We start from the raw sequence: 19,356 nt of genomic DNA on the forward strand, positions 1-19,356 counted from the left end.
TCATTTACTTAATATTTTTTAAATTAAGCTAGAATTTCTAAAGAGTATAACAATAAACTTGTTACCTGTTTTGAAACTAATGCGGAGTTTGTATTTACTGGAATTGTGAGCTTTATGCACTTGTTTACTAAAAAGGATATTTTGCATTTTGACATTTTCTTACTTCATCAAAAGCTTTAATGATTTTAAAAAGCAGAAAAGTTACTGATGTGCCTGGAAAAATCCTGAGAAACTAGAGTTAGGAACATTCTCTAGACATGGAAAAGAAGAGATGAAATACACCAAGGGACTGAAATGAAATACAGTGGGGTAAAAGATAGAGGATATTGAGGAACGAAATGAATGACTGGAAAGAAAAAGAAGAAAGGAATGCCACAGGAGTGAGCAAATACAGGTACTGGGTGTGATCAATACTCTGTAGTCATTGGAAAACAGCATCTTGGGAAATTTGTTACAGAACTGAGAACTGCAAGAAGATATTGGCCACCACCACCATGAAGCCCAGCACATCGTTATAATAACTATTAAGATCTGTTAGAACTTCCTGCTACTCCAGTTAATCACGGACTCTTCAGAACAAACCCAGGGCAACACTGCTATGCTATTGACTGAATGTTTGTGTCCTCCTTAAATTCAGATGTTGAAATCCTAACCCCTAATGTAATGGTATTTGGAAGTGAGGACTTTGGGAGGTGATCAGGTCATGAGGACAGAGCTCTCATGATTGGAGTTATGCCTTATAAAAGAGATCCCACCGCGCTTGTTCACCCTTCCACCATGTGAGGACATAGCGAGAAGATGGCTGTCCATGAACCAGGGGGCACTCACCAGACACTGAATCTGCTGGTGCCTTGATGTTGGACTTTTCAGCCTCCAGAACTGTGAGAAATAAACATTTGTCGTTAATAAGCCACCCAGTCTATGGTATTCTGTTATAGCAGCCTGAACAGACAAGACAGACATTGGTACTGAGGATCAAGATGAAAGTACCTGCTCAAGTTCACACAGGTGACAAGCAGCAGAAGTGAGTTTCAAGCCAAGGATGCCTGATGCCACGACCAAGGCCATCTCTTCAGCACTCAGCACTCAGCAGTGGGTGGGCTTTCTGATGAAAGCCCTGGGGAAGGAGAACAGGACTCACAAGGGATGGAGGCTGTAATTTGCAGTGTCTGGCTCTAAATCATGGCGGTCACAGCAAATGTCCTGTACTTGTATTTAGCAAGCACTGTCATTAGAGTTGCCTTCCATAAAGCAAGGATATGAGAGTGTGTCAGTGTGTGCTGGCATGTTATGTGGGGCTTTTAGCTTTAAAAGTAGCACTTGAGCCAGGCGTGGTGGCTCACGCCTGTAATTCCAGCATGTTGGGAGGTCGAGACCAGTGGATCACGAGGTCAGGAGTTTGAGACCAGCCTCGCCAAAGAGACCAGCCTGGCCAATATGGTGAAACCCCATCTGTACTAAAAATACAAAAATTAGCTGGGCATGGTGGCAGGCACTGTAATTCCAGCTACTTGGGAGGCTGAGGTCGGAGAATTGCTTGAACCCGGGAGGCAGAGGTTGCAGTGAGTCAAGATCGTGCCACTGCACTCCAGCCTGGGCAACAGAGGGAGACTCTGACTCTAAATAAATAAATAAATAAATAAATAGCACTTGAGCCCTGGAGGTCAAGGTTGCAGTGAGCTGTGATTGCATCACTGGTTTGTAGCCTGGGCAACAAAGTGAGACCCTGTCTCAAAAAAAAAAAAAAAAAAAAAAAGAACTCTCTATAGTTTGTGTATTAGTCAGGGTTCTCTAGAGGGGACAGAACTAATAGGATATATACACAAACACACACACACACACACACACATATATATATATACATATATATATGAGTTTTTTAAGTATTAACACACATGATCACAAGGTCGCACAATAGGCCACCTGCAAGCTGAGGAGCTAGGAGAGCCAGTCTGAGTCCCAAAACTGAAGAACTTGAAGTCTGATGTTCAAAGGCAGGAAGCATCCAACACAGGAGAAAGATGTAGGCTGGGAGGCTAGGCCAGTCTATTCTTTTCACGTTTTTCTGCCTGCTTTATATTCTAGCTGTGCTGGCAGCTGATTAGATGGTGTCCACCCAGATTAAGGGTGGGTCTGCCTTCCCCAACCCAGTGACTCAAATATTAATCTCCTTCGTCAACAGGCTCACAGACACACCCAGAATCAATACTTTGCATCTTTCGATCCAATCAAGTTGACACTCAGTTTTAACCATCACAGTTTGTAACTTGAGCAATGACACATGAACTAGCAAAATGTCCTATATCCACTGTTACTTCTTTGTGCCCAATCACTGAATGCCAGTACGTCTCCAAGGACTCACGCCAGCCTGTCCTTAACAGGTCAAAGAATTAAAACAATATCCTAGGGCAAAGTTTCATGAGACACCAGGGATCCTACAGGCTGGGACTTCATTTGGGAAGCCAACTGGTGAGCCAATCTTCTCTTGCTGCCCTCACCTCACAGCTCAGTCCTTCTGGGAGTCGGAACTACCCAAACTCAGCAAACAGTCTAGTATAGAACCTTGAGCAAACGGTTCCTGTTCCAGCCTAACACCGCCTGCTGCTGCCACCTCTGCCATCCATGCAGCCTCCCTAGCCTCCAGTCTCTCTCTGCCCATGCCAACTGTCCCTTCCTGGACTGCTCAGGTCCTAGCAGTCAGATTTCTGCTCAATTTCTAGTTCTGGACACTATGTCCCGTTACTGTTTACGGCTCTGTGTCTCCCAGACGATGGAGAAAGAAATGTGACTTAGTCAAAATGGAACAAAAATGAAAACCAACCAATCAGCTAACCAACTAAAACAAACATAATTTTAAAACCATACACTTTTCATACATACATTCAGCTAGTCTAATGCCAAGGGGAAACCTTATAGGAAAAAACCTCTCCTGCTTCTCTTTATTCCTATAAAGATTCTTCAGAGCACTTATAAAAGCACCTGGCACATTAGACATTTATTTGTAGTTTATTGACTTCCCCCACCCTCTACAGATTGTTAAGTTCTAAGAGAGCAGGGACTTTTGTCTCCCTCACCTGTAACAGCATCCAGTCCAAGGTGAGGACGTCATACGTTTATTAGGATTGGAATGGCACCAGCTGCACTCCTTTCCACGTTTATTTTCAAGGTCACCCCAAGGTTTTCTTTAACCTCATTAAATTCATGCCCTAAAGTGAGAGGAGGTATCCCCTTGTGCCAGACCCAGGCTGACTCTGTATTGTTACACATTATTCTCATCCTCCGATCCTTACATTAGGTGACCATCACACATTTTCACTCCGTTCCACATTAGTTCCCATAGTTGCACTTTCCCATGCTAGTTTCCCATTAGTTGACCAAGCATTTAGTTGGGCTCTGAGCTCTTAAAAACCAAAGGAGAATCTAATTTTGAATAAAAACACCTGGCCATACTGAACAAACGCAGGGAAGAGGTGGTGGTCATTATTTTCCTGTCCCCCCAGCTGTGTGGCTGGACGAAGCTTCCTGTGAATCCTAATCACTTTACCTCCTGTGGCATGATTCAAAAAAAAAAAAAAAAAAAGCAGCTAGAGTACAAAGCCTAAACAGAGTGGCTCTGTTGCTCTGCCTCCAGGTCTTTTTCTTTTGAAAGTGCAATCTAGTAATAACCAAACGCAGTCTGCAAATGCAAATCCAATTGCTTAACTAATTGTGTTCTCACCCCTGGAGTAATGGAAGTTCATGCTGTAGAAGAAAATCTGAACTTAGCATGGCCCAGGGTTCTGGGTTCTGGGTTCTAAAGGCAGGCCTGCGTAGAGAATCAACTCTAAGGAAGCTCGCTCAAAGGACGGAGGTGGACAGAAGAGAGATATGCATGGTTGATCAAGTGGGAGCAGAAGACAAACGCCACCACCGGGTGCAGTGGCTCACGACTGTAATCCCAGCACTTTGGGAGGCTGAGGCAGACGGATCACTTAGGATAAGGAGTTTGAGACCAGCCTGGCCAACGTGGCAAAACCCTGTCTCTACTAAAAATAAAAAATAAAAAATAAAAAAAAACTTAGCCAGGCATGGTGGCAGGTGCCCGTAATCCCAGCTACTGCGGAGGCTGAGGCAGGAGAATCACTTGAACCTGGGAGGCGGAGGCTGCAGTGAGCCGAGATTGGGCCACTGCACTCCAGCCTGGGTGACAGAACAAGACCCAGTCTCTCTCTCTATATACAAATATATTCTATGAAAGTGGGTCTCCTCTATAACATTCATGAAGTAATGTTGATTTTGACTGACGTATATAAAAATAAAACTCCTAAGTTTAGCAGTATTTACTGGAGATATACTACCCAATTCATTACTAAAAATGTGAAAAAGATTTTAGTTATGTTCAAGATCCCTTCGGTGTGGCTTATTGTGAAAGTGCACATGTTTATCTCTTTTTTTTTTTTTTTTTTTTTGAGTCGGAGTCTTGCCCAGGCTGGAGTGCAGTGGCTCGATCTCGGCCCACTGCAACCTCCGCCTTCCGGGTTCAAGTGATTCTCCTGCCTCAGCCTCCTGAGTAGCTGGGACTACAGGCGCGTGCCACCATGCCCAGCTAATTTTTGTATTTTTAGTAGAGACGGGGTTTCACCATGTTGGCCAGGATGGTTTCGATCTCTTCACCTCGTGACCCGCCCGCCGCAGCCTCCCAAAGTGCTGGGATTACAGGCGTGAGCCACAGCGCCCGGCCATGTTTATCTCTGTTTATGTACTTTTTCATTTGTTTTTCACAGTCTTGCTCTTTTTAAAACAACAACAACAACAAAAAACTTCTAGAAATGAGGTCTCACTATGTTGCCCAGGCTGGTGTTGAACACCTGGGCTTAAGCAATCCTTCCACCTTAGCCCTCCACCATTACTTCTAAAAAATAAAACCAGGGTTATGAAATTGTTCTGGTGGGAAAAGCTTGAAGTCTCTAGTCTTCTTGCTTTCATGGTGCTGGGTGCCCAGGATGACTATTTGCATAGGATTTGCCAGATGAGCATGTGGAAAGGCCTGTCTTCACAGGTGTGCCCCTAACTTTGCACCTTCCTATCAAGGGATGCATTGTTGAACGGCTGCAGAGAGAGCTGTACCCAGCCTTCACATTTAAAAGAATATGGAAAACTCATTACTTATGACATTGCCTGAGTTCAAATCCTGGCTTTTCCACATACTAGTGTGTGCTCTTAGCCAAGTTATTTCTTCCATTGTTTATTAAAATATAACTGCTGTTTTTAAATGAAGTCATATATACACATGGTCAAAAACTCTGACAACAGGATCTGGCGAATCTTTCTCAGAAATTTTCTAGGAATGTGTCACATATTTCCTTTTTTTTTTTTTTTTTACATAAATGTACCATACATAATGTTCTTTTTATCTTTCTTAACACCTCTTAGAATATTATCATTTTCTTACGGGCTTCCTAGTATTTTTGTTTGAATGGATGTATCTTATTTACTGAAACAGTCCTGTTAACAAACACATAGGTTGCTTTCTGGTTGGAGTTATTACAGAACAATCTTTGATGAACATCTTTGAACACTTGTACAAGTGTTTGACAGGATAAATTCCCAGGAGGGCTGCTGGGTCCAAGGCTACGGTCATTTTCGATTTGAATAAGTATTACCAAATGGGCAAGTTATTTAAGTGATCCCTGAGTCGCTCTTCTTTGTAAACAGTGGACAATAATGAGTTTCTCAAATGTTTCTTATAAGGATTAAATGAGATGGGGATGTGGAAGCCTAGTATACAGCAAGCAGGCCGTCAATGAATGTTGGCCTCCCAATATTTTTTTTTACGGAGAAAGACAACTATTTATGCATATTATGATGACTATAGCTTAACCATGAGCTCAACAAACACAAAAATTCACAGAAAATTCTGCAATACCGTATCTATTTTAAACCCCATTATTGAATATAACTAGTGAAATCTCAGGTCAAATAGAATGTATTTAAGAAGACACAAACTTGACATTAAACACCAGAGATTTACATTTGATAGTTGTCTCTTCTTACAAATATATCCCTCATAATAATAAAAAAGCACTCCACTAGTATGCCAATTAAGACACATCTTCCAGTCGTGTTTTGTCCTTGAGTGAAAAATCTTGCTGCTCAATTCAAGTCATTCGTTTATTCATAACACCCATATATATATCTCCAACTCTGGAAAGAAACACTGACAGAAAGATGGAAAATTTTAGAGACCTCGTTTCCACTTCAGAGAGCCTGTTGTCCCCCAAACCTCTCGGGCCCTCCGGTATTTTTAAGCTTATCAAGATTCCAGAATGAGGTTAACGGGGCGTCACAGAACGAAACCCCCCACCGTCCCGTCCCAGGGGCTTCAAGCCAGGACCCCGGCCTGAGGGAGCCTCCGGGCAGGAGGAAGAGGCCCAGGAAGCCATCGCTCCGCTCCTTCCCAGCTGTTTATGTGGTACTCAGGGTACTCGGCCAAGGGCACGGCGACCCCGCAACACCCCAGGCGTGGGGCAAAGACAGCGGGGTTGCGGGGCTCCTGTCTGCCCGGGGCGTCGAGAGTTCCTGCCGCCCCCTCCCGCCTCATGCACGGAAAGCGCCGAGCCACGGCGTGCGGCGCCGGCCGAGCGTGAACCGGAGTCGGGGTTCGGCTACCCCGAGCGGCTCTGTGGGCCGCGGATCGCTTCCCCTGGGGCGGCCACGCAGGGTTGCGGGCCATGGCCTGGGGCGCCCGTCCGGACCCCGCCGCTGCGCGGGACGCCGCTCCCAGCCTCGACCAAGGGCGCCCGGGGGCGGCGGCGGCGGCGGCGGCGGTGACTGCCCGGGGCGGCGGCGCGGCGCGGGGGCGGCCAGGAGGCGAGGAGGCCGGGCCGCGGCCGAGGGCCCAGGGCGCGCTTCCGGCGGGCGTCGCGCGCGCCGCGGTAAATGGGAGGCTCGGCCGACAGGGGCGGGGGCCGCGCAGCCGGGGACTTTCAGGAACTGCAGGAGCGTGCGGCGCGGGAGTAGCCGAGCGCCCAGCGGCTGGGCCTGAGCGTCGAGACTCGGGGCCGAGGCGGAGGAGCGGCCGCCGCGCCGGGGCCCAGCCGGAGCCGCCGCCCTCGCCCTTGCCTTTGCCTGCGCGGCTCAGAATCACCATCCGCGGCGCGGGAGACGAGCCGGCCGTCCCGGGCCGGGGGACCCGCCCGCCATGGCCACCAAGGTGAGGGGCGCGCGGCGCAGGCCGGGCCGGTCGCTCAGGCCCGGGGCGGCGCGGAGAGGGTCGGGGCCGGGGCCGCGGGGAGGGTCGGGGCCAGGGGTGGTCGAGGGGCCACTCCGCTTCCTCGGTGGAGTCCCCGGGCGGGTCCGCGGCCCAGCCAGTCCCTTCTGGGCATGGGTGCGGCGGGCAGTGCAGACAGACCACCAGGATCGCACCGGGGGACGGCGTCGGGTCTGGGCGCGGGTTGGGACCCCGGGCGCAGCGAGGTTTGGGAAGTTTGCACCTGAGCGTGGGCTGCGGCGGGCTCGCCGGGAGGGGCCGCGGGACGGAAACTTCCCGCAGCCCGGGGAGGCCCCCGAGGCGACTGGCGCTCTGTGGCGTCCGGCGTCCCCGCCGCCCCCACGTCCCCTCCCGCTGCCGCCTGGGGGACCCTCGCCCCCGCGGGGCGGGTGGGGGTCGAGACCTCGGCGGAGAGGACGCGGCGCTTCCCGTCCCGGCCTGCGGGGGCTCGCGGCCGGGGAGGGACCGAGGCTGGGACGCCCCGCGCCCCTTTGCCTTCGCTGCTGTTATTTTTTTCTTTTGTTTTGCTACCTTTTCATTGTGAATGGCATTGCCGGCATGAATAAAATATCAAGAGGGAAATGACTGTGCTTTCGATTACGTGTTTGCCTGAAAAAAGGCCCAGGCCCGAATTACGTGGTGGAACTTTGACTCCTGCTTCGTCATTGGCTAGGAGCGGTGGTTTGCTTGTTTTACGTTATTGTTTATGAAATTAGCAGTCACTCTTGGCTACCTGAATTTTCAAAAGCCACCCTCCCCCGCTCCTTTTCCTTGGGCGTTTTCAGTAGTTACTTGATGTAGAATAGCCACTGGGGAAGTCACGGTCACGGAAGGGAGGACCTGGGGGAGGAGGCTCTATACCTGAGCCATTAACTGATCTGTGATACACTGTGAGGAGTGGGTTTACTTTTGCACTTAGTTTTTGTAATGTCACTTTGTTAGCATCAGCACCCCTTTGTCTATTTGTTTTTGAGATCTCTGAGCTACTTTTGGGTTGCTAGAAACGTTATTTTTTATTTTTCGATAGGTGTTTGCTTTTTTTGTGGAGTGTTAAGGTAGAAAATGGTAAGAAATGTGAAATCTCTTTGAAAGATCAGCATTGCTTGACTTCGGTCTGCTAGATGTTGTGCTGTGGTAAATTTTGTGCTCTGAATCCATCTAGGTGCAGCGTTTGTAGAGAAATGGGGATTCTCCTCCAGGGAACCTGTTGCTGCTGTTACTGAAATAATTACCTTCTTGTTAATATATTATTGCCTGTGCTGTGCTTTGGTTTTATTAATGCGATAGAACTTGCCACCTTTTTAACGTATTAATTTTGTGTTGACCTTTTTAAAAATAAAACTTAGGCCAAGGATTTCTAAGGAAATTTGATTTTGAGGTTTGTTGCCAGACATTCCAGAAATTACCAGTTACACATCCTAGTACATGCTCATCTTGCAACCTTAAAAGCGGTTTATAGGCCGGGCGCGGTGGCTCACTCCCACCTGTAATTCCAGCACTTTGGGAGGCCGCGGTGGGTGGTTCACCTGAGGTCGGGAGCTCGAGACAAGCCTGGCCAATATGGTGAAACCCTGTCTCTACTAAAAATACAGAAATTAGCTGGGCGTGGTGGCGCGCGCCTGTAGCCCCAGCTGCTCTGGAGGCTGAGGCAGGAGAATCGCTTGAACCCGGGAGGCGGAGGTTGCAGTGATCCGAGATCGCGCCACTGCACTCCAGCCTGGGCGACAGAGCGAGACTCCGTTTGAAAAAAGAAAAGACGAGACTCCGTTTGAAAAAAGAGAAGACGGTTTATGACATAGAGATCTGTCTAGTGGTGGTCAGTGTGTTTTTACACTCTGGTCTACTGAGGCATGTTATCTGTACTGTCCTTTAAGTGGAATGCAGTTTAGCAACTAGTGCAGGTATATATAGTGAAATTTTTATTTCATAGTTAATCCTGAACTTAATTTTTTTCCAAAAAATCGAAAAGTGGTTCTTGTATATTAATCTCGAATTGCATGTGTCTTTGATTAAACACGAGCCTTAAAGCATGCGTAAGGACTTCCTACTTCGTTATCTACACCACTCCAAAGGCAAATTCCAGTAGTTCTGTTAGTTTCTTTCGGCTGCCTAATCACTGTTCCACATGGTGCTCATTTCCATGTTTACATTGTGACAAACCATTTCCATTTTAAGAAAAAGAAGAGCAACGAAGCAGTTATTAAAAGAAGACCCTTCCTTTGTTTTCTGACATGCTGGTGATTCTTGTGTCAAACCAAAGTCTCATTTTTTAATTGTTCCCAGAGAGTCAAGTTGGTGCTTTCCTCCCTTCCCCCATATGCACACTCCTTCCCCACACCTGAGTAGTTGTGTTTTTTCTTTGTCTTCTTCAAGGGGTGGGGAGAATGTGCTTAGTAGTAATGACTAACTTTTAATAAAAATGTAGGCTCCAGTGGCACTCAGGCTGTTGCTATAAGTATTAACTGATGAAAAGTAAATTCAGTATCTGGATATTTTAAGGGATGTCGATTTCCCTTTGAATTTATCAGAGACTTGGCTATAGTATCTTCAGATACAATTTTCTTGTTTGTTCTTACGTATTAAGGATGTGGTTATCACTGAACTATTGGGATTTTTAAAAACTCCACTACTATATTTTACAATAAAAAAGGAAATTATCTTTTAGAAGAAGAACTTTAGTTTGACAGTCCTTCACTGCTAAAGAAAGTTAATCAGGGTCGGGCGCCGTCTCACGCCTGTAATCCTAGCACTTTGGGAGGCCGAGGCGGGCGGATCACGAGGTCGGGAGATCGAGACCATCCTGGCTAACACGGTGAAACTCCATCTATACTAAAAATACAAAAAAAATTAGCTGGGCGTGGTGGCGGGCGCCTGTAGTCCCAGCTACTCGGGAGGCTGAGGCAGGAGAATAGCGTGAACCCGGGAGGCAGAACTTGCAGTGAGCCGATTTTGCGCCACTGCACTCCAGCCTGGGTGACAGAGTGAGACTCCATCTCAAGAAAAAAAAAAAAAAAAGGAAAGTTAATCAGTAACTGCACATTTTAAGGGGATTATCTATTTTCTATTTCTACTCCTTACTCAGTAGAGTGCTGCATTCAGTTTAAGTGTATACACTCACTCAGTGCAATCAAGTCTTGTTTTACAAATATTAATACAAAAGCTGCAGAGCATTTTAGTCTTGACCTTTATTGGAAGCCTCCAAAGGTTATATTTCGACCCAGCCAAAATATAACCTATTTATATTATAGGTTTTATATATATATGATATATAAATATATTATATTATATATATATATTATATTTTATATATAAATATATATTATATTTTATATATATATTATATTTTATATATAAATATATATTATAGTTTATATAATATATAAATATATATTATAGTTTATATAATATATAAAATATATTATAGTTTATATAATATATAAAATATATTATAGTTTATATAATATATACATATATATTATAGTTTATATAATATATACATATATATTATAGTTTATATAATATATACATATATATTATAGTTTATATAATATATAAACATATATTATAGTTTATATAATATATAAACATATATTATAGTTTATATAATATATACATATATATTATAGTTTATATAATATATACATATATATTATAGTTTATATAATATATAAACATATATTATAGTTTATATAATATATAAACATATATTATAGTTTATATAATATATAAACATATATTATAGTTTATATAATATATAAACATATATTATAGTTTATATAATATATAAACATATATTATAGTTTATATAATATATAAACATATATTATAGTTTATATAATATATAAACATATATTATAGTTTATATAATATATAAACATATATTATAGTTTATATAATATATAAACATATATTATAGTTTATATAATATATAAACATATATTATAGTTTATATAATATATAAACTTATAGTTTATATAATATATAAACTTATAGTTTATATAATATATAAACATATAGTTTATATAATATATAAACATATATTATATTATAGTTTATATAATATATAAATATATATTATATTATAGTTTATATATATATGAGATATATAAATATATAATACATTGTCAGTCATCCTGTTTTATTTAAAAGATCAAGTTCTGGAAAAGAAATGAAGAATTTTTTTTCAGTGTCTGTCAAAGGGGACATGAAGAAAATTGTTAGTGGAGGTTAATCCATATCTATATAATTTAGCTGTAATTTCTACGTCAAAGTTAACCTTCAGTCACTAATTTGGATCCTTTTGTGCTTACATAGTCACCTTTAGGCTAACTATAACAAGATTCTAGGAGTTCCTGATGCTTTTTTTTTTTTTTTAACTCTTCGGTTCCAATACCTAAAGTTATACACATGTGTTACACAGCTTGTCTGGTTAAATTAAGTGGGTATGGAATGTTAAAAATAATGGTAGGGAATAAATGAATTACTTAAGACTTGTTTATTCCATGCATAGATTAGTGAGAACAATTCAGAAGGCATACTTTGTAGCCCCTCCAGAGCAGAAACTTCTTTATTTGACGACTAGAATAGAAATATCTTTCTAACAGGTCTTAAGGATTAAAGTTGATTTTTATGGCTTTTAAAATGTTTGGAAAATGCTAACCATTTAACTTTGTATAACAGTAGTATTTTCTATGTGTCTTAAGTAGAGTGTGCAGTATTTGTATAGTCAAAGATAAGTTCTGTGACAGTAGAAAGATGAACAAGTCTCATTAAAGAAGGAATAGATTAGAAAGCATAAAAATGTTGCAGTTTTTCTACTGTGCCTTGTTTTTATATTGACCATCTGAAAATTAAATTATAGTTTTACTTTAATTGTCCACTTAAAACTTTGTAGCTTTGCAGTACTGCTGTTTCTTTTCTGGAATGCTGTTCTCCCTTGTCCTTCCCTAGGTACTTTGTTTTTAGATGTTAAGTTTTTATGATTATGATTATTATTATTTTTTTTTTGGAGACAGGGTCTCACTTTGTCATCCAGGCTGGAGTGCAGTGGCACGAACACAGCTCACGGCAGTCTCGACTTCCCTGGCTCAGGTGATCCTTCCACCTCAGTCTCCCAAGTAGCTGGGACTACAGGTGTGCACCACCATGCCCAGCTACTTTTTGTATTTTTTGTAGAGATGGGGTTTCACCATGTGTCCTGAACTGAGGTGATCCTTCCTCCTCAGCCCCGCAAAGTATTGGGATTACAGGTTTGAGACACTACGCCTGGCCACATATTAGGTCTTAATGCGTCTAAGCATCACTTCCCCGGGAAAGCCTTTCCTGATGTCCCCGCCCCTGTTTCAGGGTCACATTACACACCCCGACTGCCATTTTATATTTGTTTCTATAACTGATGGCTGGCTCCTTTGAATGCTGTCAGCCTCAAGAAGCTGAGACTGTTTGTGATCACTTTTGTATCTTCAATGACAAGTTTAAAAGAGCAAAAATATATTCTAGTGAGATAAGTGACTCGATTATTGAAGTAGAAAACTATTAATCCCCAGCTGTAAGCTTTTGTTCTTTTAATCATGTGTTTTAGTGTATTTGTTAAAAGTGTATACAGGTACAACACAAAATTTACATCTGCAGCTTAGGTATTGGCAATTATATTTTTTAAAACATAATCAATTTTACTAATGATTACATGAGAAATTGCCTGATGTTTTAAGGTAGTTGGAACAAGCTTCATATTTCTGAGACTTTAAAGAGTTGTCTTTAACCTACAAGTTGTCAGAATTGTCTTTAATTTCCAAATGTATTGGGTTTTTCTCTTTCTTGTTGGTGATTTCTAACTTGATTGCATTGTGATCAGGGAGCCTAATTAAAATCAATACTGTACCTGGAAATTTGTTGAGGCTAACTTTATTCCCAGCATACAGTCAGCTTTTATGTTTCACCTGTGCACAAAAAGAGTATACATATTATTGATGTGTGTGTCTATTCTGTATGCTCTATGTCCACTAGACTTACTGTGCTGTTTATATGTATATCCTTACTAATTGTGTTCCTCTATTTGATCTGTTGTATCTAACTGATCCTCTGTCTACTTGATGGTGATGCTAAAATGGTGAATTTAAAAATTTTCTCTACATTTACAATTAGTATTATTTTCTAGGTGAATTGAAGTTTTTATCATTATGAAGTGAACCTCTTTACCTCTGGTAATGCATTTTTTCTTAAAGACTATATTTCTAATGTTAATGTGATTTCACTAGCTTTTGGTAAATATTTCCCAGATATATAAAAGCCAATAGCTGAATTTTACCTTTTTATCCAGTCTGATCTTGGTGCCTGCCTGTACAGCATTGTGTTTACTGATATATTTGGATTTCTGTCTACCATCTTATAGATTGTAGGAGCCCACTCCCAACTTTGTGGAAGGTTTGTGTTATAAGTCTCTTTTTTCCAGTGGTTATCATAAGGATGTTAACATTAAAGTCTGAAATTACTTAATATCATTAGCCTTTTCCTGAATTACAAAAAGACATAAGGTTATTTAACTCCAGTCATCTCCCCCAATATGATCAATTATTGCCCAGTATTTTAGTTATATCTTTTTCACCACAAATTGAACATTATTTTTATACAGTTAAATGTTTTAGATCTAATCATATTGTACTGTGTCTTTGCTTACTGTTTCTTCTTACATTTCAGTCTTTTCTTGAGATAATTTCCCTTCCATCTAAAATGAATTGGAATTTCCATTGAGAAGGTATGTTGTTGGTAAATCTCTTATATGTCTCTTAGGTATGAAAATTACCCTGGTCTTGAAAGAGTTCTAGGTTGACAGCATTTTCTCCTAGTACAATGAAGGTATTCTTCCTTTGTTTTCTACTGGCTTTGACATTTGCTGCTGGGAAGCCAGTTAGCTAATTATTGTTCCTTTGTCCGTGGTGTGACTCCTCACTGGCTGTTTTTAACTTTCTCAGTTTTAGTATTTTGCAGTTTGACTGTAGTGTGTCCATGTGTGGATTTTAGTTGCACAGCTTGGGTTTCCTGGGTATCTTGGATCTGAGGACAGGTGCTACGTTAGTTCTAGAACAGTGCTGTTCAGTGTACTCTTTGTGATGATGTTCTACATCTGTGCCGTCCATATGGTAACTGCCTGCCTCTTGTGGCTAACAAGAACTTGAAATGTGGTTAGTGTGACTGAGGAACTGTGTTTAAATTTTAATTTCAGTAGCCACATGTGGCTAATGGCTACTTTATAGGTGAGTGCAGCTCTAGAAAATTCTCAGCGGTTATTCATGAAAATTGCCTTTTCTCCATTCTTTCTTTCTGGAACTCTAGTAACATGAAAAGGACCGATGGAAATCTAACTTCCCATCTGTCAACCTGTCATGTTTTCTTTGTGCTACATTCTGGATGATTTCATTTGTTCTTACCTTCTGTTCACTATTCTTTCCTCAGTCAGGCCAAATCTGCTCTTTTATTCATCCATTTAATTTTCAGTTTCGGTTATCTTCTATTTTTAGAAATTGTATTTGGTTCTATTTCAAATCTGCTTATCATTCATTATAGTTTCTGGTTCTTTGCTCATATTTTTAAGCTTCTCTTAAGCATGTCAAAACATTAATAGTTTTCCGTCCTAATCTCAGAAGTCTGATTCAGCCATCCGTTTCTGCACATTCTCACTCATGGTGCTTTGTTTTCTTGTGTGTTTTGTGATTTGATTTGATTTTTCCTTGAGTTGCTTGTTTTCCTTGGAACTTCCTCTGTGGGAATCCTATTACCTAGATTGAGGTTGTATCCTTCCAGGGAGGATTTGTGTGTGCTGATACCAGTCTCCTGGGGACATTACATCCTTGGAGTCACTATATCTTTAATTCCTGGCTTAATGTTTTCTCAGCCATACTGGGTAGAATAAATATGGACCTGGCATCTCAGGAGAAATTTTCCTCATCCCCACTACTCTGTATCAATGATGAGACATTTCCTTGCACACAGGTTTTCCTCTTTACCCTTATGCTGAGGTCCTTTTGGAGTCCCAGCTTGTAGCTTAATACAGGACACTTTGTGTGTTGCCTCCCCTGCCCCCACACAGTCCCCAGAGCACAGAGCCAGGCTCCCAGGTTTGTGGAGTCTCCCAGCGGGAAATCCTGCCTCAGCACATGTGTTCTCCCAGGGTTTCTGCTTTCACTTCCTTTGTGGCCTCTCCGGAGCCTTTCCTTTTGTGCTAACTCAGCAGTGTGTTTCAAAAGGTGTTTAGTTTGTATCTTTTGCTTTTAATATTTTATTCAGCACTTCAGTTGTTTCAGTCTGGCAGTGGCTCAGGTATTAGCTTGCTCTAGTTGCTGGAACAAAATCCAAGTCAGAGCATCTTTATAGCAGACTGTCAAGTGAAGGGAGTGGAATATGTGCATGAAAGTGTTAATCTGATCTTTGCAGAGGGAAAGGTCAAAAAGTTGTTAAGCATTTTGGTTGAAACCAAACCTTCAGTCAAGCTGTCAAACTGTGGGCATTTCAAAACTTTCCAATTGATATTTCTTTGTCATTTTTCTTTTGACTATTAAAAGCACATGATAGACTACTTACTAATTTCTAGGCATTGTAAATGCAGTGTTTAAGGATGCTATTCAGTCTGACTGAATTTTTCTAAGTTATTTGTAGTATCTGAAAATCGAGTCATATGGTATTATTACCCACAGGGACAGTACTCAGAAGTCACAGATTTGTGATTGTTCATTAAGTCAGACACTTAACTTTAGGGATAAATTAAAGAGGGGGAAATGCAGCTTCATTCTGTTGCCTATCACCCGTTGTCATCCACAACTCATTCATTTGAACTTCAGATGTGCCAGGTCCTCTGGGATGTCAGTATGAAAGGCCTGTCCTTGTACTCAAAGGGCACAATGTCTTGAAGGAGGGCAGGCTGTCTGCAGGGGCACAGTGCAGGCTCCTGGCACAGTTCCTCAAGCCCAGAGGCTTTCAAAGGACCCAAGTCTTGAAATGTCTGTGTATTAGTCTGTTCTCATGCTGCTATGAAGAAATACCCGAGGCTAGGTAATTTATAAAGAAAAGAGATTTAAATGACTCACAGTTCCAAAGGGCTGGAGAGGCCTCAGGAAGCTTACAAATCCATGGTGGAAGGGGAAGCAAACATGTCCTTCTTCACATGGCAGCAGGAAGAAGTGCCGAGCAAAAGGGGGAAAACCCTTATAAAACCATCAGATCTTGTGAGAATTCATGAGAACAGCATGGGGGTAACTGCCCCCATGATTCAATTACCCCCACCAGGTGCCTCCCACAACATGTGGGGATTATGGGAACTACAATTCAAGATGAGATCTGGGGAGACACAGCCAAACCATATCAGTCTGTTACTTAGTACTTTGAGTGAGTTTTAAACCTTACTCTATCACTTCAGTTGCTTCAAAAATACTTCCATAGTACAGCTCCACAGTCTGCAAGTCCAGACTTTGCCTTGTCAGATCCCAGATATTCAGTTCAGCAGACATTTCAGTAGCTATTTTGTGCCACTTGGATGCTGGGAATAAAGATTTGGATCCTCCCTAGGACAGTTGACATTCAGATATTAATGAATTGGTGTATTTAAAATGTGCGAGTTTAAATGTATTTCCTAATTTAAATTCACAGAAAAAGGCTTGAAAATTTAGACGTATGTATAAATAGTTGCCTATTGCATAGTGGCTGCACATAAGAAGTTTTTTTATGTTTTAGTTTGTTTTATAGTCTCAAGATTTTAAGTAATGAATATTTGCTGCTTTTGTAACAAGGAAAAAAAAGATTTTTTTTTAATTAAAAACTTACTGTCTTTAGGCCTCTAAAGCAGATTCCCAAACTTATATACCTTCTGTTAATTTGTTTCAAATTGTACTAGGTTGGAAAAATTTTTTAATGCTTACACATAGTAAGGGCACTTCAATAGAAGAATGCTAATGCATTCAGGATTACAAATATTATTTTGTAATTTTCTTAAGTATGGTACTTAAGGAAATTTTCTTCTTCCAGGGGAAAAAAAGAGTATGTTTTAAAAGTAGCTTTAAAACATAACTGAAAACTTACTGAACAACTAGCACTGAATCTGAAGGTGTTACAAATTGCTGTTTCATAAATACATTGGTAATTTTACCTGCCACCATGTGCCTTCTCCCTCAGGAGCTTAGAAGAGGCAGGGTGGTTAATTCTTTGTGGTTAGGCAGGGTTTCCAGCACTGCACTTCTCCTCCCGCCTTCCTAAACCATGACTCAGATTTTAGAGTCAAGAGTTGAATAATATGATTTTACAGTTGTTTTGTTGATGCATCAGATTTACTTTGTCCCGTGACTATCTACCAGTATTGCCGAACTGAACTGGGTCCATTTGCCCATGTAGTGGAAAGCCAAACACTGAAGCACCAGGTTTTTGTAGTGAGAGAGGCTTATTGCCAGACAGCTGAGCAAGGAGACAGGAGTTGGACTTAAGTCTGTCTCTCCACGCTGGGGGCTACGTCAGGTTTTGTACTTAGAGGTAATGAGGCGTGATCTGATTGGATCTTGCAGTGGGGTGATGCTGGAGGCATAATCTGACTGGATCCTGCCATGGGGTGACACCAGGGCTTGATCTGATCGGATTTTGGATCCTGCCATGTGGTGTCCACTGTGGTTTTTTTTTTTTTTTTTTTTTTTTTTTTTTTTTTTGAGTCAGGGTCTCTCTTCTGTTGCCCAGGCTGAAGTGCAGTGGTGCAACCTCCACTGACTGCAGCTCAACCTCCTGGGCTCCAGCGATCCTCTCACCTCAACATCCTGAGTAAGCTGACACCACAAAGTGCGTGCCAGCACACCTGGCTAATTTAAAAGAATTTTTTTTTTTTTTTGTAGAGACGGGGTCTCAGTCTGTTCCTCAGGCTGGAGTGCAGTGGCATGATAATAACTCACTGCAGCCTTGAACTCCTGGGCTTAAGTGATTCTCCCACCTCAGCCTCACAAGTAGCTTGGACTACAGCTGTGTGCCACCCCCCCGGCCAATTTTTTAAATTTTTTTTTCTTTAGTAGAATTGAGGTCTCGCCATGTTCCCCAGGTTGGTCTCAAACTCCTAGGCTCAAACGATCCTCCTGTGTCAGCCTCCCAAAGAATTGTGATTACAGCCTCCCAAACTGTTAGTGTCCACTTCTTAATTCAGTGCTCATTCCTCATGCCCATTCCATTCCAAGTGCCCATCTGAGCACGTGGGTTCTATCCATGGCTGCACACTTAGTTTTGGGCATGCTCTGGTGATGTGACGTTCAACCTGGAGGTCCATGCCAACTGAAAAGCAGCTCATAACTTTGTTACATAAAAGTTGAACCAGATTAGTCTGATGCAATTCCAACAGTATGTAAAGCGTATTCAATGTCCTTGCAACCCCTAAAAGCTCCAAAACCCTAGGAAATCAATACCCGTTAGGTTACTGAGATCTGTGGTTACAATAGGTTGAGCTGTCTGAATCATCTAAAGCCAAGATGATACCAAAAAGTATAGACATTTTAAATTTAATTTTATTTTTGAGACAGAGTCTTACTTTGTCACCCAGGCTGGAGTGCAGTGGCATGATCTCAGCTCACTGCAACCTCCACCTCCTGGGTTCAAGCAGTTCTCCTGCCTCAGCCTCCCAGGCAACTGGGATTACAGATGTGTGCCACCACGCTCAGCTAATTTCTGTATTTTTAGTGGAGATGGGGTTTCACCATATTGGCCAGCCCAGTTTCAAACTCCTGACACCAAGTGATCCACCTGCCTCGGCCCCTCAAAGTGCTGGGATTACAGGCGTGAGTCACCATGCCCAGCCAAGATTTTTAAAATATTCTAATATTTACTTCTATTAGAGTTCAATTACTATATAATGACCAAAAGCAAAGTTTTCAGCCTTTAAAAACCCATTCCCCTTCTTTTTTTTTTTTTTTTTTTAAATAGAGTCTTGCTCTGTTGCCCAGGCTGGAGTCCAGTGGTGCAAACATGGCTCATTGAAGCCTTGAACTCCCACACTGAAGCAATCCTCCTGCCTCATCCTCTTGAGTATCTGTGATATGGTTAGGCTTCGTGTCCCCACCCAAATCTCATCTTGAATTGTAATCGCTGTAATCTCC

At 42.0% G+C, this 19,356-nt stretch overlaps 1 protein-coding gene across 1 annotated transcript in view, besides 3 other annotated features; it reads left to right on the forward strand.

The window, feature by feature from the left end:
* Nucleotides 6,801–7,120: a silencer, noted in NCBI's record as "silent region_17727". NCBI's record gives its function as "represses an Ori minimal core promoter by ATAC-STARR-seq in GM12878 lymphoblastoid cells {active_cell/tissue: GM12878}" and the evidence as "EXISTENCE:reporter gene assay evidence [ECO:0000049][PMID:35858748]".
* The window catches only part of SNX9 (sorting nexin 9), a 121,832-nt gene continuing 109,467 nt past the window's right edge, over nt 6,992–19,356 (forward strand). The window contains exon 1 of the mRNA NM_016224.5: nt 6,992–7,192. Within this exon, the coding sequence (NP_057308.1) occupies nt 7,181–7,192 (12 nt within the window). The 5' untranslated portion in view covers nt 6,992–7,180. The remainder of the gene's footprint in view (nt 7,193–19,356) is intronic.
* Nucleotides 7,771–7,820: an enhancer, noted in NCBI's record as "active region_25339". NCBI's record gives its function as "activates an Ori minimal core promoter by ATAC-STARR-seq in GM12878 lymphoblastoid cells {active_cell/tissue: GM12878}" and the evidence as "EXISTENCE:reporter gene assay evidence [ECO:0000049][PMID:35858748]".
* Nucleotides 13,838–14,576: an enhancer, noted in NCBI's record as "NANOG-H3K27ac hESC enhancer chr6:158251124-158251862 (GRCh37/hg19 assembly coordinates)". NCBI's record gives its function as "activates a minimal SCP1, AML or CMV promoter by ChIP-STARR-seq in naive H9 embryonic stem cells {active_cell/tissue: H9 hESC(naive)}" and the evidence as "EXISTENCE:reporter gene assay evidence [ECO:0000049][PMID:30033119]".

The sequence above is a fragment of the Homo sapiens genome, chromosome 6, assembly GCF_000001405.40.
Source record: "Homo sapiens chromosome 6, GRCh38.p14 Primary Assembly".
Classification (NCBI taxonomy): domain Eukaryota; kingdom Metazoa; phylum Chordata; class Mammalia; order Primates; family Hominidae; genus Homo; species Homo sapiens.